Raw genomic sequence first — 27,188 nt, 5'->3', positions numbered from 1 at the left:
GCAAATTATTTCAACAGTCCTCTAAGATGAGTAACTATTATTGTCCTTATTTTACAGATGAAAGATTGACCCTCTAAGAGACCAAACGACGTTGCCAAAGTCTCTCAGAATGTGGAATATTTGGGATACAAATTCTACACTGGCTGACTCCAGAACAAATTTCAAAGTGCTTCTTTCAAAATCCAAAACAATTTTCGAAATTTTGAAAATATTTCAGTCCTTTAAACACCAGTACCTGGACATAACTTAGACACTGAATTTGTGGACAAACATAGACTGAGATGATTTTTAGCAGGTTGGAGACAATGCCATATCTGGTTTCATACCCATTCAAATTTTATCCACATTCTAATTCCTAAGTGTTCAGTTCTGATTAACTAAATAGGAGGGGCAACTCCAGTGTTATTTTACCAAATAATAGATTGATCTTGGTCCTGACAGAATAAGCTTCATGATAAGTATCATGAAGCATATCAACATGAAAATCACTGAGGAAGAACAAATGTGGCACAAAAGGGTGCACATTTTCTGTCACTCCCCTGCCCCTGAACTACAATTTTCAAAATACAGACTATGAATATATCAATAATACAGAAATAAGTCAGAAGTAGGAAAATTGGCCTGGTTCCTTTAAAGCTCCAAGTTTACCGTCAAGTCTCTAAGTCTTAATGTCAGTTACTAAAATCAGTTTCCTCATTACCTTCATGCTGCTTCTTGTTTTTATCACTCTCATGTACATTTTAAGAAAATGTTTAGGAAACTCCTGCCCTCTGTTGGGAACATTCCCCATATACACAGTGTCCCAACAAAATACATTTTAAATGATTCACACTGGCTTACCAGCCATCTCTAAACATTAATAGTTTGATTTCCAAAACTCCCTCATCCACTAAAATTAAAAAAAAAAAAAACTGAAGTAGCACAAAGCCTACAGATGATAGAAAATACCAGATAATTTTCCCCTTCGCTCTAAAATCAAACGGCGAGATATGTAGTTACATGGATCCCAGAAAGCATACAGCCCAGCAGTCTGCCCCCAGAGCAGTTAATCACTTACCAACCACAACTGACAGACAAGGCCCACAGAAATTAAATGTTTTCAAGTTGAAGGAATAAATGAATGAGTGAAAGAAATGAAGACATGAATAAGGTTTCTTGTCAACTAGAACACTGTGTCTTTTCCTGCCGTTCCATAATATATGGATGTCTGATAATGCAGACAGGGAAGACTAGAGATAGTTTTACAAATATTTGGAAATGAGAAAATTAGACCTGCGATTTTATGATAAAAATGAACAAACAAGATTTCCTTTATGACATCATAAGTGCATTTTGAAATAAAACAGTAAGAATTTGATTGACTTGAAATAAGACATCTCTACTGTATTCTTGATTTGGAATAAGGCAGCAACGATATATGATTTACTTGCCAACATGTAGAAGGAGTGCTTAGTGCATTCTGATTTTCGAACTGTGATGTTCCTTTGAACCTTTCTCTCTTGAGTTCCAGAGAAAAAACTTCGTGATATTTGTCTTAGTGAATCTAGGGTGACACGGTACTGCAAATCTACAAAAATTTTAAAAAATAATTGATGGAAATGTTTATTTGAAGTGATTCTCATATTGTACAGATTATTAAATTAGCATTATAGAAAAATCTCTTTGGCAATCAATCAAAAAAGATTCTATTGTTCAGCATATCCACACTGTTATAACAATGATATTAGCAGTCATGAAGATAACCTTGAGGAACTCTATAGAACTGGTCTCTGAGTTCACTGTGCTTTCAGTGTCTAATTACATTTATTGTTTATAATTCTTATACACACATGCACACCTGCCTATCATCTAATTGCCAGGCCACCACTGTATTTATTATATTTTCACTTAAAACATTCTTTTTAAGTTTAGAAATGTTGGAACCCTGCTTAGAATATTGATTATGTTATATTTCAATAGGGACAAAAATATACTTTAGTTATTTATTTACAAATATATACATTTTAATCTATTTATATATAAAATGACATTATCTCAGCTTATGGTCAAACCACTATTAAGGTTCAATAAAATAAGCATACCACAATAAAGAAAATAAATGAAATCTTACACTGTATATGAAGGCTACAATATTCCTTATTTGATCACTTAATTACTTTGCAAAAATTAAATAAGACTGAAATAAAGTTACATATAAAACTCAAAATCATTATTTTATGTTCTTATACCTCATTGATCTTTCTAGTCAGGAGGCTATTTCAGAGCATATACATGCACATATGGAACAAATCAAGAAAAACAGATTTTAAGGATTAATGGCTTTTCTCATTCTGCTTGTATTTGGTTACAGAGTAAATTTCTCTTCTTTAGCCAATGGCCTTTATAGCTTTGATTCGAGCATATTTCAACATCATTAAAAAGCTGCCTTAGAAAGTGGAGAACGGAGGGAGGAAGAGGAAGCACAGGCTGACCTGATGCACCTGAGAACACACACACAGAACAAGTCTGACTCTCGGAAACTAGGGTCACCTCAATGGAACAAAGGATCTCGGAAATGTGGGAATGGTAAAGTATTAGGGTTCTCTGCAATATCAGTCTTTCCCAAGAGGGGGCAAGAGAAGGGAGAGAAGAGTCATGGTAGAAACCTACAGGAAGGAAAACTGGGCCCATTTGTAGCTCAATTTCTAAACTCTACCTCTGAATCGGTATTTTTTTCTTAAGCGTCTCATTGTACATAGCAAGTAGGAGAGCCAGACAGAAACTATGGAGTGTTGAGGGCACTGCATACAAACATGTAATTTCTGCTCCAGAATTGACTGGGTTCCATAACCTATTCCTTTTGCAACAGAATTTTTTTTCAAGGTTCTGCATCTTCACTGGGGCAAATATGACGTGCAGCTCACCATGTGGGGAAAATACAATATCCTACTGGACTTCATCATGCTAGAGCAAATATATTGTCCTCTACCCAAAAGTACTTGCTATAATTATTTTGCTTACCAGCTTCATAAATCGTGTCTTCTTTAGACTTTAATTTCACATCAAAACACACTGTAGCATTTATGCATACTGTTTCCTTTCCCTCCATATGGCAGTTTTTCTTTTGAATATTCACTTTATTTGGCTCAAAATTCATGGTCACTTTAACTACGGCCACATCTCGGGACCTACAAACAAAAACAATGGGATTACTCACACATTTTTACATTTAATGAATGTCATCAACTTGGGAGTGCAAAGTGAGTGCATGGAAGAGGGTTCTGCTTCATGTATAATACAGCGCTCAGGACTCCATTTCTTTAATTAATCATTGTTACAGAAGAGATTATATCTGATGTTCTAAGACATGTAGGTTATATTTGGAAACCATTTGGGGCTTTTGGTTCAAACACCAAAGATCTAGTTTTTCCTGTGATGGAAAAGAGATGGAATCAAGTGTCCAGGTGAAACCCCAGAATCAACTGTATTTTGGGGATTTACGAGTTTGTTCCAAATTTGAAAGAAGTCTAAAGGTCCCTGAACAGCCCGTAGACCCCTGCTATCTCTTGTCTGGACTGTAATATTGTCTGTCCTTGTGAGTTCAGCTCTTCCTCTATTTCTAGGAAGGAAAAGCAAAATAACATTTGAGGCATTGTGCTAGACATGGATGCTATTTCATTTAATTCTTAAGGTTAATTATAAGCAACATCATTTTTTTGTTTTACGTTTGATAACTGGGGCTCTGAAAAGTTAAATATTTTATGCCAGGTCAAAAGCTATTAAGAGGAAAAACCTGGGATTTTAAACTCAGTCGTTTTAACTCGAAAGCCCAGTAATGTCTACTAATCCAAAATGAGATCAGAGTAAGATCTCAGACATGGAGAATATATGGATACTGAGGTCATTGTCTTAGATCCAAGCCGGAACAATTACTGCACATTTTTACCTGGTTTCTGCCTTGTGGCCAGAGCTAGCCCCTTATAACTGTGTATGTTGTGAATAATGAGGTCACTACTTATGCTTTTGCATTAAAAAAAGGTGGTTTTCTTTTTTCTGTTAAAACAATGGACTCATAGAAAATATAAACATCATAGAAATGCATAAAGAAAACACAAATAACTTGTTATACTACCACTCAGCAATAATCATCATTAACATTTAGTACACTCAGTGGTTTTTTCTTTACAGAAGAAAACATGCATACACGTACACACATGCATACATACATATATACAAAAGCACATCTTCATATGTATGCCTACAAATTTTTAAAACATTATATTACAATGAACAGCTTTCCAATATTTACATTTTTCTGAGAACATTATTTTTAATGGGATTTATTATTTTTAATGGAAGCAGACTATACCAGCATATGCACATACCATAATCTATGCATTCAATCCCATCTCATTGGATATTTAGCTTAATTTAAAAAAAAGGTTTCTGAGTATAGTGGTAAATTTAACATTATTAAAAGATGGTATTACATACAGTGCTGTGATGACACCTTTAATTGTACTTCTAGATTGTATCTTTACATTTTTAGGAAGTTAAATCCTTGGTAAAAAGTAGGAACATTGGAATGCTTTTAAACACTTATTGATAAAGACCTTCGAATGAGTTTTAGCCAGTTTACCCTTTCATCAGCAATGAATGAACATGCCTAGTTTCCTGCTTAGTAATATGGATTCTCCAGGCATGAAGCTGCCTCGACCATTGTCCACCCCACACATCCTCTCTGCCCCAGCCAGATCTTTCTTGGGAGTCAGTCCAGGTCTCATGACAAGACTCTCACTATTTGCTTCCAAACGTTTTTCCTATCATCTGTCACTTGTATCCACTCTCACTTCTTGTTAGGCATTGTGAATCTTAGTCTTCGTGTCCCAGTATATCGGTTTGGTCCATTCTGCTGTCAGTGGAGCCTGGACTATGATAGGGAAATGACTATCATTTTGGGCCATCAATGCCTTGATTTGGGGCAGGAGAGGCCATAAATAAGTTTGCAAAGCTTTGCAAGAAAGCCTTGAAACAAAACTGGAGCATAAAAACCCTGAAAACATATTTTTAATATGAGAATTAATACAATAAATATTTGTGAGCTAAAGGGAGCATAATAAACTAATTCAGGATTAACATTTCAAACAAAATTGAAGTATATCCATTGTCCCTGACACTGCTGACTTCTGGTTTTGAGCCTTGGCTTCTGGTGAGTCCTCCCCAAAGTCCCAGCCACTGTGCTGCCTAATATTCCCTTTTCTTAGGTATCACCCTTCAGTCTTCTTTCCCCTCTATTGTAAAGGTTTTTTTTTTAAATAGTGATTATTGTATGTGCACAATTTACTGTACCATTTTAATTTGACCATTAGTTCTTAAGCATTATCTTAAATTATAGCAAAGTCATCTATTTTCACCTCTCTATCTTCACCTTTCTTTTATACTTTATTACTCTTCTAGGTAGATTTTTGGGAAAAAGAGCATTGATGTATGTTTCCACCCGAATTACAGTAAACCAATGCATTAATTTAGGAGAATCAACATGCGGACTTCCCATAAAGTCACCTGGCATAAATAGATTTTATTTATGAAACCCTTCCTTTATATTTCTTAATGAAATTTATTATATATTTTTCAAAATTATCATGTGGATTTCTCATTAAGTTGATTCTTGACTTCCTAGTAATTTCTTTCAAACAGAACAGTTTTTGAAATAGGATATTTAGTTTTTGAGATAGGATATTTAGTAAGCAATAATTATTTTTGCCTACTAAATTATTATTTATTCATAATTAATAAAGCATTATGAATGTATGTATCTGAAAGAACTGGGCCAATTTGGGGATTTAGGCATTTTAAAGGCTGAGCGAAGATATTACTTAAGATGCCTCTAGGCTTGACCAACAATATAAACAGAGTCAGAGAGTGCTACGCGATTATCTGTTTCTATGTATCAGGTAAATGAATACAAAGTCGATTATCTCTAAAACCTTGTAAGCAACCAAATATTAGGGATATTTTCTTGTTTATATACATCCTCTATAAGATCTTCTCTTCCCCTATACCTCTCCTAAAACAGAATACCTATTTTAGTGTAAACCACATAATAGACACACCAAATTAAGAGTTCATTCTACTTGTTTCTTTCATATAGCTTCTTTGTTCTTAAGATGTATTGACTCTTCCAGCTCACTCAACTGAATAACTTGTATTTGCATAGTGGAACACAAAAGGAAATAGATATTTGGTATGACATGAGCTCCAATCACACTGGGAGCTCTGCAAGTGACCCAGTCTCAGATTAACAGGATGTTATTAAAATACATACCAGAAGAGGGCAGCACCACCAAGGCCCCCAATAGTCACATCTGTCAGACCGTCACCATTTAAATCCATTTCTCCGTGGATAGACTGGCCAAAAAATTTCAGTGTCTTACCATCCCCACCTGATGGAATACGCTGTGAGAATCCAAAAAAAAGAGTTTCATATGAGAAGAGTCTGTTCAAAACAGTTTCAAATAAATCTGAGAATTTAAATTGTTTAACAAAATAATCAGTTTTGTTAATTTGGGAATCCGCCCAAGAGGTCCCTCATGTGGAGATAAGAGGAAATACTCAGATGTTCCCAGAGGATATTGCTGTTTTTATAGTACAGACAAAATCATTACAAGGTCACTGACACCAGAGAGAGGGAAAAATTATATAGTGTCATTGTGTCTAATCCTCAAAGGAAACAGTATGAGTAATTGGTTCTGTGCTTTCTGCTTCCTAGCCAATCCCATCACACAGACATATCTAAAGGTACTGGAAATCTTGAAAACATATCATATCAGCAAAGGGGGGAGGGGAGTATAATATTGTCCTAGGGGTCAATTTGGAGTTCACTGAACTTTGTGGCTGGGTATAAATAACACATCCCATCAAATACATTTTCCAATATGTAATCTCTACTGTCTTTCAAAAATTGTCCTAAAAGTTGAGGGCACAAGAGACTCAATTCCACTCAGATGTATTCACAACGTTGAGATGGCACAAATGAGTATGTCTTGAAGACTGATCTGTGCACATTACCATACATAGTATGTTTGATATCTGTACTTCCTGACTTAGCATTGGTTCAAGCTTAAGCTAATGCTTTTAACAGAAGCCCATGGCAAGCAGTCAGGACTTACAAACCCTCCCTAAACTTCAAGTCTTCTGAGCCTCTTGTTTTCCACATAAATAACATAAAATAAGAAGCCTACTAAGGCAAACCAAATGGAAACATTTTTCATCCTTAAACAGGTGAGGCTCGTTTGAAAGTATTTCCCCCCCTTTTTTTTTTTGAGACGCTATCTCGGCTCACTGCAACCTTCACTTCCCAGGTTCAAGTGATTCTCCTGCCTCTGCCTCCCGAATAGCTGGGATTACAGGTGCGCGCCACCATGCCCGGCTAATTTTTTGTATTTTTAGTAGAGACGGGGTTTCACCATTGGCCAGGCTGGTCTCGAACTCCTGGCCTCATGATCCGCCTGCCTCGGCCTCCCAAAGTGCTGGGATTACAGGCATGAGCCACCGCACCCAGCAATCCTCCTCATTTTTTTAAGTGAAGAATTCAGGAGATATCTGACTCCTTGGTTCTATGGGCTTGATTGATTCTGGATTATCCCATACATAAGCAGCATCTCTGGTTCTCATGGAAATGAGTAAGCACATCTTCACCTATTCCTTGGAAAAACATTTTGCCAGTAATTAAACAAATCCAACTCTAATATTCTTTTTGTTGTTTTTGTTTAAAGTTGCATCTTGATTTACCACCATTTAGAAAACAAGTTGTTTATGACAAATCTATTTCATCTGACAATGATTTAGCTTTCCTTTTCTACTTCAAATGCTACCCCATTAAATTTACAGGATTGATGCTGAAGGAATAAAGTATTAGAATATAAGAAAGAACTCTCTTCCTGCATTTCCTAATTCCATCATGCCCCAGTCATTAATATTGCCTGTCTCTTGTTAAGTAAATAATGCCATAAAGATTTTCAACAGAAACAAATTATTTATCAAATGGATACAAGTGCTCTTATTGAAATAAGCCCTTTATTCTGTTCACTATTGTCATTATGGTTTTATGAAAAATCACTCATGTTTGCATTACATGAATAGATTTTGAGAGCTCTGTTGACTACAGAACCAAAGAGAACACTCAAATAGAAAATGAAATAATTAATATTCTAATTTCTTTTCAAATTATATAAGCTAGAAGGTAGTGAATTCTGTTTTATTTGTAAGTAGTTGTTCAATATCTAACCAACTATGATTACTTGAGAGCAGACAATTACATTCAAACTCCTTTAAATTCTTTTGTTTTTATAGTGTAGTGCATTAAGCACTTTTGTAACTTGTTATTTTTCTAATGAAGGAAAAAAAATACACTTATGGATTAGAGCTGTTAACTGACAACAAATTACAAACAGGAATAACAGAAGTTCCCTGCAGCTTAAACTTAATATTCAGATTTATTTTTTCTAAGGATTACTTGCGAGAAAATTATAAACCTTTAGAAATCGTAATTCACTTGACGAAAATATATCAACTTAATGGATAAATATAAATTTAATGCAATTTATTATAACAGCATGGACATTAAATATAAAATCAAGAATCTAATTTCCTTTATTGGTTAAGTCATACAATTATTTTTGCCTTATTCAGAAAGCAGTGCCCTCTATTTAGAACGGGACACACTAAATGTCCCATTCTAAATTTAACAGATGTTAAACAGCATTGTTACAAAGTATTCTTTTTTTTAACTGTTTCAAAAAGTCAAATCCTGGAGATATGGAAAATAACAACAGAAAGGAAACTAGATAAATGTATAAAATATAAAGTAATTACGGCCAGGCACGGTGGCTCACGCCTGTAATCCCAACACTTTGGGAGGCCGAGGTGGGCGGATCACGAAGTCAGGAGATCAAAACCATCCTGGCTAACACGGTGAAACCCCGTCTCTACTAAAAATGCAAAAAATTAGCCGGGCGTGGTGGCGGGAGCCTGTAGTCCCAGTTCCTCGGGAGACTAAAGCAGGAGAATGGTGTGAACCTGGGAGGTGGAGCGTGCAGTAAGCTGAGATCGTGCCACTGCAGTCTAGCCTGGGCGACAGAGCGAGACTCCGTCTCAAAAAAAAAATATATATATATATACACACACACACACACACACACACACACACTATATATATAGTGTATCTATATACACACACTATATATAGTTTATAGATACACTATATATAGTGTATCTAGTATATAGATACACTATATATAATATATAGTGGATACACTATATATAATACCTATAGTGGATACACTATATATAATACCTATAGTGGATACACTATATATAATACCTATAGTGGATACACTATATATAATACCTATAGTGGATACACTATATATAATACATATACTGGATACACTATATATAATACCTATAGTGGATACACTATATATAATACCTATAGTGGATACACTATATATAATACATACACTGGATACACTATATATAATACATATACTGGATACACTATATATAATACATATACTGGATACACTATATATGAAATATATAGTATATAGTAGATATATAGTATATAGATAATATATATAGTATATAGTAGATACACTATATATAATATATATTGTAGATACACTAGATACAGTATATATATCATATCTATATACTAGATACACTATATATAGCGTATCTATATACTAGATACGCTATATATAGCATATCTATATACTAGATACGCTATATATAGTGTATCTATATACTAGATACGCTATATATAGTGTATCTATATACTATATATAGTGTGTGTATATAGGTACACCATATATAGTATATATAGTAGATACACACTATACATATAGTATATATAGTAGATACACACTATACATATAGTATATATAGTAGATACACTATATATAGTATATATAGTATATATAGTAGATACACTATATATATAATATATATATCTATATATTAGATATGCTATATATAGTGTATCTATATACTATATATAGTGTGTGTATATAGATACACCATATATAGTATATATAGTAGATACACCATATATAGTATATATAGTAGATACACTATATATATAGTATATATAGTAGATACACTATATGTATAGTATATATAGTAGATACACTATATGTATAGTATATATAGTAGATACACTATATGTATAGTATATATAGTAGATACACTATATGTATAGTATATATAGTAGATACACTATATATAGTATATATAGTAGATACACTATATATATAGTATATATAGTAGATACACTATATATATAGTATATATAGTAGATACACTATATATAGTATATGTATCTAATATATAGATATATATACTATATATAGTGTATCTACTATATATACTATATATAGTGTATCTATATACTAGATACACTATATATAGTGTATCTATACTATATATAGTATCTATATAGTGTATATACACTATATACTATATATACACTATATATACTATATACTCACTATATACACTATATATACACTATATACTATATATACACTATATACACTATATATACACTATATACTATATATACACTGTATATACTATATATACACTACATATACTATATATACACTGTATATACTATATATACACTACATATACTATATATACACTATATATTATATATACTATATGTACACTATATATACAATATGTACTCTATATACACTATATATACACTATATACAATATATAAACTATATATACACTATATACTATATATACACTATATATACACTATATATACTATATATACACTATATACACTATGTATAGTATATATAGTATATACAGTATACATACTATATATAGTATATACAGTATACATACTATATATAGTATACATACTATATATAGTATATATAGTGTATATACTATATACAGTATACATACCATATATACTATATATAGTATACATACCGTATATACTATATATAGTATACATACCATATATACTATATATAGTGTGTATATATACACTATATATACCATATGCACACTACATATACACTATATATACTATATATTTATACTATTTGTATATATAGTGTGTATATATAGTAATTAATCTATAAGGAACACTATACATACTATATACACACTATATATACCATATATAGTATATAGTGTGTATATAGTATATATAGTGTGTATATATATATACTATATACACATTATATATACACTATATATACTATATACATACTATGTGTATATTTATAGTTTGTTTGTGTGTGTATATATATATAGTAACTAATCTATAAAAAACACTTAAAGAGAATTAAATCCAGTTTCCCAATAAGGTCAGGAGGAAGAAATTAAATAACTCATGAAGTTAGACAGGTAATGCCTGGCATTGAACCGACTTATCACTGAAGGGTGGGAATCTGTAGGTTTCAATTCTTACTTGTGCATACTCTTTCCTTATAGTCTTGCCACTTCCATGATAAATGTACACAGCTCCCCCGTGATCATCTTCCAGCGGAGCTCCTATCACGATGTCATTAAATCCATCAAGATTGAGGTCTTTTACAGCAGCAATTGCAGTTCCAAAACGAGCCCCGCATGGCTCATTTTTGTTTTCTGTTGTGCATGAATTGTGCTGCCGAGATGAACAGCACGTCTGCTTAATAGGTTCCAGGCTCATTTGATATTCAAACCTTGTCTGGAAGAAAGATAAACAGGATATTTATGTATTTCCATCATTACTACAGCAGAGTAGAATTTTTAAAGTATACTAAATCAGTGCTATTAACAGCCATTTGTACATTAGTGGTAAAGTTGGTAAAATTTCTTAAAAAGTGTGCCTATCTGAGAGTAAAGTTAGGGATTCCAAAGAGCAGATGGTAGAAGTGTGGGAGACATACTTTAATGGAATCTCTTTTTAATGCAATTGAGTATACAATTCAGAGCATCTTTTTCAGGCCAAATAATATTATATCCTTAATTTGTGCCACTATCCCTTCTTCACCCAATATTGTGCAAAGCGAAAATTTATTCTGCTCAGAAAGGAAACTTTCTCTAAAGCTGCCTAGAGTGGAAGGAAAAAAAAAAAAAACCCAGACAGAAAGTACTAGCAAAGGTAATCAAGAATACACTTTCTTGGAAAAAGGACAAAACAGCCCAGGACAAAAAAAGTTGACAGGAGGAAGCCAAAAAATGATAGGAAGAAAGACACATGATTTATTATTTAAAATAATCAATTTAGGAGAGAATGTACATATTTGGAAAAGCTAAATAGATAAACACTGGCTTTGCTATAAAGAGCAAAACACTCTTCTAATGAAGAAATTAAAAATTATTTAACTTAAAAAATGATGTCTAAAGTCAGGAACAGAAGACAAAATCTCACTCCAGCCCAGTGAAGTATTTCCTGGAAGCCTGCAGTGTTGCTGCCTTGAAACTCATGACTTCTCCCCCTCCACCCTATCCGATTTAACTGCTGAGGTTATTATCTATCTCCAAGCCAGAGCTGATAAGCCTCCCAGCCTAAATAAGCCTTGTGGGTTTATTTAGCAGTTTAGTGAGATTTATATTTACCTCCTTTATCCTATATATTGTTAAACATAATTCACATTTCCAAGCAGAAAATATCTAAGAGTTGGAGCTACTTTATTAGAATTATAAATGGTCATTTCAAAACTGAGGGGTTGGTGGAGTGAATGAATCCTGATAGCTTCTTTGCTCTGTTTTTTCAAAGTGAGTGAAAAATTGGAATTTATTATTAAAAAATGAAGAGAAGGAAGAGATTTTCCTGGATTTCTACCAAACTCAGACACCATTACCTGATTGAGAGCATACACATACACTTTTCCTTGCTCCTCCTTCTCTGTTCCCATGTACATAGGGGCTCCGACTAGAAGAATGTCAGTATTAGAATCCTTGTCAATGTCAGTTGTTGTTAAAATACTGCCAAAGTAGGAACCAATCTAGGACACAAAATGAAACAAAACAGCCCAATGAACAACAGAAATTCTCAAGGAAACTGAAATCTACATTTGTTTTACTTCTAGCAATCTAGAAGAGGAGCTAGTTGGCAAAGGAAATGAAAGATAAAAATTGATGCTCCCTGAAAGTTATTTATTGGCTCTTTCATGAGGATAAAGAATATCAGTCGGTTCCATCTTTGAGGATGAACAGCTGTTACAGATTTCATCGCTTGACAGTAACAAAATGAATTTCTTTAGATTTCACTCTAACCTCTCTTTCTTCTCCACAAATCAGAAAAGGTCAGTAATACTATAGTGATTTTTTAAGGAAATAAAATTAGATAAGCAGTAGAATGCATGCTGCAATGGCTGAATATATGTTTAAATACATTATAAGGAGCTGAGTTGTCCTGGAATACTGGTGTGGCATATTTCACCTCATAGTCTTGGAAGATTGTCTTCTCAATGAAATGGTTAAGCCTTATCCCAGCAGCTATGGGACATAGAAAAATATGGAAGGATTGCAGGGGTATCATCCCTTGTAGCAATATGTTTTCTCATTTAAAGATAGAAATCTGTTTAGAGAAAAGCAGAGAACTTATACTTCATTACCTAAATGCTTAATTTTTTCAAATATTATTCTATGTTTAATATTTGATGCTCTTAACAATTATCTTATGGTACATCTCCCTGTACTGGCTTCTGCAATTTTACTCTTACTCTCTTGCTTCTGCCCCTGTGGCATAGACCACCCTTTTCATATTTACTGGCTTCTTCCCCAACTCTCATTTTCTGAATTTTGGCCTCTTCTAAAGCTCAGACCTGTAGCCTTTTTCCATTCTCTTACCCTAGATGACCAATCCTTCTTAAAAATTTCTACTAAGGCAATTGCAAACATCATTCTGTCTTCCTTCTCAAGGCTTCAGTTCTACAGTCCTAGACATTGCTTCTAGGCATGTGGGCAAAAGACACTGACTTTTGAATGCACTTTTCTCACAGGCTTTTGAGGGCCTTGAGAGGTTTTTTTAAAAGTTGAATTAATTATAAACATAAATAAAATAGAAGATCTTGCAACTCTGGGCTTTCCTCCCCACATGGCAACCGTCAACTGGAGCTCAGTGGAAGCTCACAAGCTGCCCAGGGCCATGGTTCCCACCACTTCCTGTGTTTTTTTGCCCAGCAGCTTTACTCATTGACTTTACCTATTTTGATTTTACTTTACTGGCACCTTCAAATATCTGAATTTGTGCTTACTGTTACAAGGAACATGTCTAAAAGCCAAACGTCATTGTTAAAAAATATCTAAATTGCTTGAGGTGTTGACATTCTAATCATGGAGCCACCTTTCTTTCAGATTCCCAGGCTTGAAACTGAAATCATTCACGATTTAAATCATTCATGATACTCTCCTCAACTTTCATATGCAAATTTTCATAAAATTTGACACTTCTTGTCTTGTATACAATTAATGGAGTGATAATGGATCAAAGACGTCATCTAAAATGCTTCATTTTACTATTGTCAACTTCCTATTATTGATATCTGTCATGGCCCTTCCTTTTCCATTTTTACTGCTGACATCTTATTTTACGTTCTCTTACCTCCAGTTTGAGCTACAACAATAGCCTTTTTCTAACTGTTATGCGTTTTCCAAGCGTAAATGTGGGCAAAGAGTTAATAAAACCCTTTCACCTGATACTTGAGGAGCTGACCTTTAGCTACTCTAACTCTGTTGCCCTGGGAATCTGCTGTGGCTGGGATTTCAACTTTACCACTAAGGCTAAGCAACGCTGACAGGGGTAAAAATAACCTCTTACTGGAATATTGTATTCAGGCTGTGTGGAACTATAAATGAATTATAAGTACCTGATGAAGATGACATATTTTTGACTTCCCAGAGTGCAGTTACTCTTGTAGCCGGCCTGCCCTTTGTAGACACCCTGGAAGCTATGTCTATGGTGTTGTCATAAAAGATACTGCTCCTGCAGGGCATGGGGCTTTAAAGCGAGTGCAGTTTGTGGACCTGCCTAATGTGAGTATCCCTGCACCTGAGCTTTACTGCTGCGCTGGGCTGCAGCTTGGACTCTTGCAGAGCAGGAGGGCTGATGCAGTCCTGCCCCTCTAGTCTAGAGAGTTGGAATATTTAGTGAAGGCTAAGAAGAACCCCTCTCCCACCCTCTGTAAAAGGACTGTGGAATAAAGTTAATAAATCCTCCTTGTAGAACTGTTGAAAAATACAGAAAACTTTTTAGAAACAAAAGTTCCCAAGCTATCACAATTCAAAAATAACAACAACAAAAAGCATGTTAGATCTTTCTTTCAGTTAATATGTGTGTGTGTAAATGTTTGCATATTTACGATGTTTCTTTCAGTTTTTATATATACATATGTAAATGTTATTTCATGTATCATTTCCCAAACTTCTTTTAATATTCAATACTACCTAATAAGAATTTTTCAATTTTAAATATTACAGACAATTTCCCATTACCTCCAGGATAAAATCCAAGCTCTTAATTTGCCATTCAAAACCTCACATCATATGGGTCCATGTTATCTTTTTAACTTTCTCTTTCACTGCTCTTTCTACCTATCCACATTCTATCATCCCTTGTAGATTCAGCCCGAATTTCATCTTCTAATAAGCTTTTCTGCACCAATCCTAGCTTAAAGCAATCCCATCATATTCTGACTGTATTGTCTGGGCCACTGGTAATTTCATGCCTCTTAATGTTTTGGATCTCTTTTCTTGTGTATATATTTGTACATCTGTATCCACATCTATTGTATATCTTACCTCCACACCCATCCAACATGAAGACAAAGATACAGACACTATACATCCTTCCAAAGAACCTAACACAGGGCCCTGTTCCCAGTTGTTACTGAATATGTGGGTATTGCATTTTTAAGTTTAGGACAATAGACAGTAAATATACATAGAGTATGAATAGATTAATTTAAATAAAAGAATATTTTTCAAGTTTACCTGTTCTCCACTGAGCGTCTGGAGAATTTTGATGTTTCCATCTTCCATCCTGTAGATAATGACCTGGCCTGTATGATTGTACCGAGGCTGTCCAGCAATATAGAGCACATCTCCAGAAGAAGCAGTAGCAGAGTTTACAGTGTAACCTAACAAAAGAAAGATTCCAGGTATACCACCTGGACCCTTAAAGGCTTCATGTAATAAATTAAGACTCTTTTTAAATGGCCAAGATAATCATTTTTATATGGTTATATTTTGAAAATAATATTTTTTCTTCAATGCACGTAAGAATTTGTTTTGGTGGAAGCTTTTAATATGCTCTCTATCTACCACAACTGCTTTCTCCTGAGAAGTTATTTTCCCCCAATCTGAGTTTTTCATTATTTAAAATCACAAATGATATAACAATGATGACACACATAAAAAATTGCACATCCCCACCCCAATTTGTAATAAATCAATTGTATTTCATTTGGATATATGTGTCTGCACTACAGAAATTAACACTTTTCATATAATTGGAATCATAGAAAATGTAAACCTTTTCTGTGCTGCTACTAGCTTTTAAAATTGTAATTTTAAATAATTGAAGATGATTTCTCTTGGTTAAAGCATAAAGACATTGCATTTATATTACATGGCCATTTCCCGATAAAACACTAGAATTCAGGTGGTTTTAATATTTTTGGTATTATGCTTCAGATTTCAAAGACACCTTGGAGCATTTAAATTTGTCCCTCTTCTGGATTTTTTGACAGTACATTTCAAGGAATAGATCACTGGATCACGTTTTTAATGGTTCTTATAGTGTCTAGAAAATTGTTTCCAGAAAATTTGTACTACTTTGTTCTATGAACCGCCATATGAAAGACAATTTCATGAAACTGTCCCAGGCTTTGTGTATCATCACTATTATTTAAATTTGTGTATGTTTTAATAGGTGTTAAACATTGTCTAACAACAGTACCTTTCTGTGATTTTAATGTGACTTTATTCAACACAGAGCTTGAATCATTTTTCACGTATCTGATCTTTCCTCCTTTTTTTTTTTTTTTTGAGATGGAGTCTTGCTCTGTTGTCCAGGTTGGAGTGCAGTGGCGCGATCTCGGCTCACTGCAAGCTCCGCCTCCCGGGTTCACGCCATTCTCCTGCCTCAGCCTCCCGAGTAGCTGGGACTACAGGCGCCCGCCACCACGCCTGGCTAATTTTTTGTATTTTTAGTAAGACGGGGTTTCACCGTGTTAGCCAGGATGGTCTCAATCTCCTGACCTCCTGATGCACTCGCCTCAGCCTCCCGAAGTGCTGGGATTACAGGCGTGAGCCATTGTGCCCGGTTCTCTCCTCTATTTTAATTGAGCTTCCATGCTCTTTAAAATTTTGATTGTCTTTTTTCTACTTTTGATTTTATTTGCATATATTTTATATTGAAATTATTCCTGGGTCATTATTTTTGTTTCTTCGGTTTCTTCTGGAATACCTTTTTCTTCTATGCAACCTCCTCCTCTGGCTTAGAAAAATTTGTTCTATTTCAGTAAGCATCATTTCAGTGCGGTGGGTGCGATAGTGGGGGTGGAGGTCACGTATGGGTTAATCTGACCATGAGCCCTGTAAACAGAGCCAGTGTATCTTGGGTGCTTCGCCCACCTAGATGTACACAATGATCAAGAGACTCTACATACAAACCTTTAAGATCAGCACTGCTTTTTACATTTGTATGCATGTGCAACAAACTTTCAGCACTCTTTTGGGGCCATAAACCCTCTGTCCAGCTCCACGGTTTGGCTTTGGACACATCTACCAGCTCCACCATTGCAATGATGGAACGGCACACACTGCTTCTGTAAAGTCACATCTTTCAGATACTTGGTGGCTTTTCAGATATACATAACCCTTGATTGCCTGGGTAGCTTCATGGATGTTCTTAAAGTGAACACGAAGATTTCAATCTCTTGATTTGAATGATTTTTTGGGTTGTTCTGGGTCAAGTGAATAGTAAACCATTTTAAGAGATCATCTCAGGCTGCTTACAGGAAGAGCATAAATTGTGTCTTTAAGATTAATTTTTGAGTGAAAAGTTAGATTTGTTCTTTGTGTTTTGAGAAGAGAGCCATATCAATGAATAAAAATTGCCACATGCAGATTTTGATTTTATAAAAGGAATAACTCTTTTAATAACCAGATTTCTTCAGTGGAGCAGAAGTAAGATTATTTTTCAAAATGCCACAGAATAGCACTTCTCACTGAGAAAAAGATCATTTTTCTAACTCACTTACCAAGTATTTTACTGTAAAGTAGGTTTGACTTTCTTTCAAAAATGTTAAAAAGGAACAAAAGTTTTTATACAGTATGTTTATTCTTACAAGTGCTAAAGGAACACTATTCCTCAGGCATATTATCCTTTATGAATATTCCTCACATTCTCATTCCTTCATCTTTCTTTGAGGGTTTTTTATTATTATACATAATAGAATCTAAAATATTTTTTCGAACATGTAATGTGTTACATGTTTGTATTACTAACCACAATATTGTTTTAAAATGAATCTTTCAGGCCATGTTTATACATACATAAAATGGAAAAGAAGAATGTGCAAAATGAAGGCTGTTTTATTTCATGCCACTCTGCTAAGAAATATAAAGAAGGGAGTAGAATGAGAGTGTTAGTACGTGTGTGTTTGTGTGTGTGTGTGTGTGTGTGTAATTTGCAGAGCTGTGAATGTAACTTGATAAAAGGCCTCCTTTAAAAATGAGTTAAAAATTATGTTTGAGGCTAGGAGTTGTGAGATTATTTAGTTAACTCTCTTTGATGACTTATACTTGATAACTAAAAATATTAGCTGAAATAATCTCAGGGACAGTAACTACCAGTTAGCGTAGTTACTAATTGAGGCTTGGGTGTCTAAAGACAAGAAAGAAGAAAAGAAAAAGAGAGCCAGAGCCAAGTAAAGCCTAATTTTAAAAGAAGGAAAATAATTATAAATATTTAAGCTTAATAGTGTTTCCTGAAAAAGAAAAGAATAAGATGGAAGAAAAGGGCTGGGCGCGGTGGTGCATGCCTGTAATCCCAGCACTTTGGGAATCCGAGGCAGGTGGATCACCTGAGGTCAGGAGTTCGAGACCAGTCTGGCCAACATGATGAAACCCGGTCTCTACCAAAAATATAAAAAATTAGCCGGGGATGGTAGCAGGCGCCTGTAATCCCAGTTACTCAGGAGGCTGAGGCAGGAGAATCACTTGAACCCAGGAGGTGGAGGTTGCAGTGAGCAGAGATCATGCCACTGCACTCCAGCCTGGGCAATAAGAGAGAAACTCTGTCTCAAATAAAGAGAAAAAAAAAAGAGGAAAAAAAGGCTAAAATGGATGGCATAGCCCTTTGCATGGATTTATGAAGAATGAATTCTGTCAGCTCTCATAATTCACTTCTTGGGAAAAGGGCCAGGATCTAGTGAGGTAATGGGAAACAGGTATGATCTGTCTTGATGCCATGACATTGCCTCACATCTTTCCTTCTCCTTTGGAAGCTGTATGGCAGGAATAGAATTCAGCAAACTGTGGGTGGAGGAGGCAGGGGAACATAATCCCAGCTGTATTTTCACCACCAAATTCACTTGCAATGCCTGTATTGGCATAAGGCAGTTTGGGTAATAGAAAGATGGGGTAGGACTATGTCCTGAGACAGATGTTTGACAGCTTGAGTTCTTACAGTTTCCTGATCCTTATTGATAAGCATGGGATTTTTCTAACAGAGCCTCTGCCTCTGCTTCCTTCATAAGATTTTTCATAGCCTTACAACTTGCAATCCACACAGTTTATGAAAAAATACACTCAGTCTCTTCTCAATTTGTGACCCCCACAAAGAAACATTTTGAAAACTTCATTTCAGATTTAGAATATTATTTTGGGTGAAAAAAAACACAAGGTATTTGTCCTGCCTTTTCTGAATGCTTTTCTATTTTGAAAGAAATCTTACATGTATTAGACTTTATGTTGGCAAAATGTCATATACCCTCACTTGTGAGTAAGCTAATGAAATAATTTCTGAAACAGAAAAGAAAATCTCAGCACACTGTAGAAAACATACCCAAAAATTTCCTTTTTGGACAGAGAGAAGTCATATATTATAAATACTGTGCTCAGAAATAAGATTCTTAATATTTTCTTACTTGCAGTGGCATCTTTAAGTTGAATTCTCCACATCTGCTTTAAGCAACGTTTAACCAAAGGTTTTTGGGAATGACAAATTTAGGATTCTTAAGAGTTTATTTACTTTAAAGGAATTTAATCACATATAATTAAGAATACCAAAAACTACAGTGTTATCAATTAAAATGTGTGGGCTTCCTAAGAGTGGCAACAATATCATACACATCTTTGTGGACTTCACACAGTGTCTTTAAATTTGTAAATACTCAATACTTATTAGTAATAGTACTAATGTCAGCTACTATTATTATTTTGTATTATGTATGAGTTTTCTACTGCTGCTGTAACAAATTACCACAAGTTGGTGGCTTAAAGCATCATGAACTTTTTATCTTACCATTCTGTTTATTAGAAGTCTGGCATAGAGCTTCCTGGACTAAACATCAGGATATTGGCAGGTCAGTGTTCCTTTCGGGAGCCTATCAAGGAGAATCGGTTTTCTTGCCCTTTGTAGCTCTAGAGCCATCTACAGTTTTTGGCTTGTGGCCCCCCTCCATCTTTAAAGCCAACAACACTGCATCTCTCTGACCATTTTTCCATAGTTCTGTCTCCCTCTGGCCACATCCAGGAGAGGTTCTCTGATTTTTAGAATGCTTGATTGTATCAGGTCCAGCCAGATATCTGAGGATAATCTTCCAACTCGGGATCCTTAATTTCATCATATCTGAAAAGTCCCTTTTGCCATGCAAAGTATGGGTCCAGGGATTAGGACATGGACATCTTTGGGGATCATTATTCTGCCTACCACAATACTAATAAGAGGAATGTTTATTATATAACATTACACAATAAAAAAATACATAATAACATTTACATAATAAAATAATAGACAACACCCATTGAGTGTTAACTGTGTGTCAGGCACAGTACTAAATATAGTCATTACTTAATCTAACAACCCAAATGATATATATGGTGTAATTATTTCCATTTTAGAAATAGGAAAATTGAGGCTTTGAGGGGGAGAGTAATTTGCCTAAAGCCATAGCCAGGGGCAGAATCAGAAAACAAGCTCAAGTCTCTATGACCTCATCGCTATCGCTAATTGTACACCTTGTACCATAACTGCTTCAAGTCTTTAGTATCATAGAATCAGCAGCTTTATAATTTTTATTTTTATGGGTGTGTAATATTCATTAAGTGGATTTACTATTTACTTAACTACCTGCATATTTTCGGGCATTTAGGATAATGGCATTTCCCCCAATAACATAAATAATAATACAATGGAAATCATTGTTCACTTGGCATTCTTAAATATTGGATTTTTTTCCCTAGGTTAGGTCCACAGAAGTGAAATTTCTGTATAAATGTGGTACGAACATTTTTTATAGCTCTGTAAACACATTGTCAAATGCCTTTCATAAGGAGTTTTACTAATTTATATGTCATCCATTATATAGGAAGATAAATGTTCTATATTTATTCTACATATAACAGAAGCCTCAGGTTAAGCTGGTTCTTGATTCCAAGGTATTTCACATAAACAGTCTCATAGAACCTTAGGATGTAATGAACTTTTAGAAGATATCTAATCTAATCCCCAGCCCTCTTTTTTAGGTATTCTGTGTCATAGCACATATCATACTGATAGTGATTGCTTGTTTCATTATTGTCTCTCACCCAAAAAAGTAAGGTTTATCAGTGTAGGAACTGACCTGCCCCATCTATCTTTTTATTCCCTATAAACTCAGTGTTTGGCACATTGCTGGTACTCAATATTTGTGCAGTGCTTTCTTAATCAACCCAGAATCAGTTATTTTGGTATCGTGATATAAACACTGACATAAGAATCAAGAAGCCTCAATTGTGGTTTCACACCTGCCATAGGCAGCTGGGACATAATTGTTCTATCTCTCAGTTTCTTGATTGGAAATTAAGACTACATGCTCCATAGGATCTCTTTTAATGCTAAAATTTGAAATGAATTTTAAGCCTAACCCCTATATTTTATATCACAATCCTCCAAATACCTAAAATACATGCAATGCACACTTTGTTTTCTAACCTTCAATTTCTTTAAGTTTTCGAGAGAGTGAGACTTGTAGCAGGGAATTGCTTCGGGAGCTGACTTTTCTGTGTAATATTTTACTGGCACATCCTAGTTTGTCATTTTCTCCTTGTAGTATGTGATACTTAGAACAACCAGATACTCTAGCTGTTGTCTGACCAGAGTGGAATGTAACAGGATTTCTATGAGAAACAGACTGGACTTTCATTCATGCAGTTCTACATGTCTTAAGAGATTTTAGCAGTCACAGTGCAGCTGCTGTTGACTGTTACATTTTTAGTCATCTAAAACTCTAGTCCTTTTATTCTTCTTAAGTCCTGCTGCTCCTACAGCTTTAATAGGTGTCCTTCAATAAGGAGATGTATAAACACCGCAGTAAAGACCTGCCACCTTCCTGATAAAATAGAAAGCAACTGGGACAGAGAGAAAAAGACTTGTCTCCGGGACAGAAAGATCCCAGAGAGGAAGGCTAACACGTGAAGCTGTGAATGCTTCCAGGCCAAGGTATGTGTTTTCTTTATCACTTTATTCCCAGCACTAAGATCAATGCCTGGGGCAAAAGAGGATCCCCCAAATATTTGTTGAGTGAGTAAGAGCTGGGAAGCCATATCCTGATGGTCCTTTTTATTTTAGGTCCTCCCAACTGTTGGTGAATATCTTTTTTCAGTGAGGGGAGAGTTCCCTGGCATCCCCCAGGTGTTGCTCAGCTTGGTATAGATCCCAAATAAAGTGGTACCAGACATACAACTCCTCATTTCTGGCAAGACACTGGGAAACAAGATCATGTTATATCACTGGGTTTAAGTTCAATATTTGTCTGATTGTGAATGGAGCTATTAAAGAAGAAGTTACATGACAAAATACATTTTTCTTTTCCCAAATTAGGACCCATAGAGAGAAATTAATGATAGAAGACATTTAAGACAATATGAGTTTGGTTTTCAGGATATAGGAGAAGTCGAGGTTTCCTTTTCTACTCTCATTTCTTGTCCACCAGGTTCAAAGTTCTCCTTGAAGTTAAAGTTGATACCAGACACAGAGAAACTGAACATATCAGAAAGGGCACATATCAACCTAAACCATTCCCTGCATTAGACAGCCCTACTAACAAAAAAGGACCCCCATGTATGTCATTTTGACTAACTAAAGCTGCTCAGAGGCCTAAAACTTTGCATGGGTTCTGGAAAATACCCAACTTGTTGAAATAATCCTGCTATATGGTTGCAAGCCTATAGAAACATAAGCAAATAATGCTAAAGGTAAAAAATGGAAAAGTAAAACAACTCTTTTATAATTATATCCAAACCTTACCTAAATAAGAAGCAAGCGGTTCATTCTTTTTGGTAGACTCAACATTAAAGGTTGTGTTTCGAGGGATTATGATTTGACTAGCCTTCTGCATGACAACTGTTCCATTCCAATCATAGGCTCCTACTGCTCCAAGCATGACCCAGTCCTTACATGCAAATAAATAAGATAATAATATTTAATAAAAATAATAAGGGGAAATACTTAAACACCATTAACAATGTGTATAGGTATACTGTTCAAAGTGCTTTACATTTGTTAGCTTATATAATCCTCATGATAACTCTATGAGTTAGATGCTATTGCTACCATACCTGTTTTACAGAAAAGGAAATCAAGGCACAAATAACTTACCCAAGTTATACAGTAAAATTGCACATGGAAATGTCAATATTCTTTTGCAAGGACCATTATGCCTTTTCTTTCATTAACTGCAAATGATATATTTTCTAATCTTGTCTTTCTACTTTATTCTGGGTGCCCAGCATCCTAGGTCTTGAACATGGAATTCTAATAAGACCCTTGAATTCCTTGACCTGTGGAAAAATATTCCACATCTGTAGCAAATATGTTAAATTATTTCATTTAGACAGATACATAATTACAAGGCAAAGCTCACACTGTCTGATTCACAACTATTAGTACAATGTAGTGAACTGTGTGAGAGAACATATTTTCTTAATAAGAAGCTTGTGAAATGATATTTTCCTATTTGAATTAGAAAACATCATCATAGCCTGCATAATTGTTCAAGCTATGAACTGCACGTTGCACTTACATACTGATGGCTAGATGTTGGTTTTGGGAAGGGAAGTCTTGCAAACATATATTTCATTTTTCACCAACTGGTCAACATACCTGTGAATAATGAGCACTGAAGCCAGTCTGAGACATTTCCATTTCAAATGAAGCTGCTGACTGGTCAGCTGTGGCTATAACATAGGAAAATATCACTGTAAATAAGTAACAATGCCTTTTCATGCACTACTGACTTGCAGAATACAGATACCTGGTAGAGCTTGTGGTCTTACCAACCAGAACTTCAAACATCTTAGGGCATTTTCAGCCATACATTTCTCAACCCAAAATTTCTAGGTAGGCCTGGGTAGAAGACAGAGAAAAATAGTCAAAGGGCTCATGTCTCAAATTCTTGTTCATTAGCAGCCCTGTCCTCGCCAGAGGGGTTGAGAAATCTCCATTCTTATACTGTAGCATGTTGTGGATCCTATGGTGCTTTGGGTCCACAAGGCTCAAGTTGGATGTACTACAGTAGGAAATTCCTGTCCAAATTCATGCCTTGGGAACCCTGCTGAGCCCTTAGGCTAAACTCCCTTAATATGTTATGGGACTGAAAAAAATTTCATTCACATATTTAAAGAGGTTTCTCAACTCCATCAGTCCCACCCATATTCAGGCCATAGATTCTGTCAGAATTTCATTGTGTGATAAAGGGTTTAGGTATTTTAGTATGCATTTATTTGCTCTAATTACTGGTGGTAAGTATCACTCACAGATCCAGAGGGGTCTTTGTGATAGGGCTGCCCACATGCCATTCAATCATACATTTTTAAAAGATCCTGTACCCATTTTGAAGCTCTTTACTGAAATGCAGAGATAATTCAGAGCATTCCATGGCAGTCTGCTACTCTCAAATTATTCTCAAAATATTCACAAACCCAAAGCCACAATTTCCTGAGGGAATTGATGGAATGTTGATTTATTTGCTTGCACTAGGGGTTACTGATTTATTTGGCCTTGCAGATAAGTTAAAAATAGCACTTAAGAAAGTCAGTCTGCCCTTTCGTTGAGGCAAGAGAATAATCAAATTTGTGAATGTAACTATTTGTTAGTTATTTACATGGATAAAATTGTGAACAAATACATCAGTAATTACCTTTGTAGGACTAGATTAGACGCGGCAGTGAAGAATTCAAATATATCATTTTAATCTCTTGTGTGAATTGCCCTGTAATTTAAATGACTGAGATGCATTTTAACTTTAATTTAAACATGTATTTTCAGTCCACAATGCTTTCAGGTGTTTTCTCACTTATCTGCAAGATCAATAAGAATGCAGCAACGGAAACCTGCATTATTTTCAGCACCTGCCCTGCCGCTATTCTGCCTTCAGCTGAGAACAGACAGAAGGACGCTATGTGATGTTCTTCCTGCTGCAGTGGCATCATGGTAATAGACCACTATATTCTCCTGGGCTTCTTGCTTCAAACTTCTCCCTGGACTGTTCATGGGTGTTTGGGCCAGCCACTCTAACCACTGTGCAGCCTCTGGTTAGAAATGTTGGCATTTTCTCCCAGTGCTCAACGGGAAATGGAGACAGTAGACTATTTTCTGATGTACTAAGCAAGTCCTTGGCATACTTGCCTCAATAGATGGCACTGTCCTTGGCAAACAGAAATTTCATAATCACAGCTACTTGTCATCTTAAGATACATGTTGACAGGAAATGGAGATTTCCCGAGCAACAAAGAAATAAAGCCTTTTTAAATATCTCATGAAAAAAATAAGAAATAGTCTAGTCAAAACACTGCTTTTGGTGTAGTGTAGCAACAAAGATGATATAGAAGACATTTGTAATCTGTAAAGTTCCTTATAAAATGATGTCATATTTAAATATAGAGACTTCTTGGAGTGTTTGGGCTCTTCAACCTGTCACCTTTAATCCATGGTGTAGTTAGGTTAGAAATAATCTGAAATGTCATTTCAGGCAATTGATCTCCCCCTCCCCTAGCTGAAGTGGGCTTCATTTTTGCCAGTTTTAGGTTACTTGCTTACTTAAAAGGAGATTTAGAAATGACACTGTATTCTGTTGAACTATCAAATGTAACTATGTAACTTTTCTTTTAAATTATTTTTACAGATTGTTTCTATCATATCTTAGCCCATGTTATTAAAAATTAAAAGTACACAATTAGTTGGAAGACCTTATGTATTTTCCTTAAGGCCAGCCAAGCTCATAATCTGGTTTATTGGTAAATGACACCGGGAGAGCTGTTGAGAGACCAAAGCCACTTAAAAATGACTTGTACACAGAGCACAAGACAGCTGAGTTCTTCAGAAGCAGCTGGGACTCCAGACTCATAAACAATTAGAGTGTTCTGTTTCTAAAGGCACAGGGGAAAGAGGCCAGGGGAAAAGGGAGGCACAGAAATTCAGTCTGGCTGGCCTGTAGATTCCTATCACCTCTAAATCAAATGTTCTAAGTACGGATTGTGACCCAGTCATGAAATCAACAGACTGAGTATAGCCAGCATTTTTTTTTCATTGAAAGAGATTAGGGTAGAATGGAATTGATGAGAAACCATCACAGTGCATCACATGTAATAAGAATTATCTTGTGAAACTTTGCCTTATTTTTATATGTATATATTTATGTGCACTGGGTCAAAAAGCAAAATGTAGTTATTATCGTGAGTCACACTCAAAAAAAGTTTGAAAGCCATAACTCTAAATAATTATCTTTCCTTTCTGTACATTTTCATATTCTAATTTTTCTGCATTTTCCCAGCCCCTTGACGCTCAATCAAAATGGTCTACTTTTTTTCAGTTGTGTCTCATTCCCATTTTGTCTTTCTGTTTCCTATTATCAATCAAATCAGGGAAACTGAGAAAGTGCTTTTAAATTTCTATTGTTAAGATGTAGAAACAACAGTCTTTC

General features: G+C 35.0%; 1 protein-coding gene and 1 pseudogene across 1 annotated transcript in view; both read right to left on the bottom strand.

The window, feature by feature from the left end:
* The window catches only part of ITGA1 (integrin subunit alpha 1), a 171,294-nt gene that overhangs the window by 37,311 nt on the left and 106,795 nt on the right, over nt 1-27,188 (bottom strand). The window contains exons 10-17 of the mRNA NM_181501.2: nt 24,371-24,444; nt 23,516-23,660; nt 15,991-16,136; nt 12,858-13,001; nt 11,480-11,737; nt 6,305-6,435; nt 3,001-3,167; nt 1,431-1,567 (exon numbers count right to left, since the gene is read on the bottom strand). Coding sequence (NP_852478.1) covers nt 1,431-1,567; nt 3,001-3,167; nt 6,305-6,435; nt 11,480-11,737; nt 12,858-13,001; nt 15,991-16,136; nt 23,516-23,660; nt 24,371-24,444 — 1,202 coding nt within the window. The remainder of the gene's footprint in view (nt 1-1,430; nt 1,568-3,000; nt 3,168-6,304; nt 6,436-11,479; nt 11,738-12,857; nt 13,002-15,990; nt 16,137-23,515; nt 23,661-24,370; nt 24,445-27,188) is intronic.
* Nucleotides 17,421-17,991, bottom strand: RPL17P21 (ribosomal protein L17 pseudogene 21; annotated as a pseudogene).

This window comes from Homo sapiens, chromosome 5, assembly GCF_000001405.40.
Source record: "Homo sapiens chromosome 5, GRCh38.p14 Primary Assembly".
Taxonomy (NCBI): Eukaryota; Metazoa; Chordata; class Mammalia; order Primates; family Hominidae; genus Homo; species Homo sapiens.
Note: the sequence above shows the minus strand (reverse complement) of the source record. Positions and strands in the feature narration are given on the sequence as shown.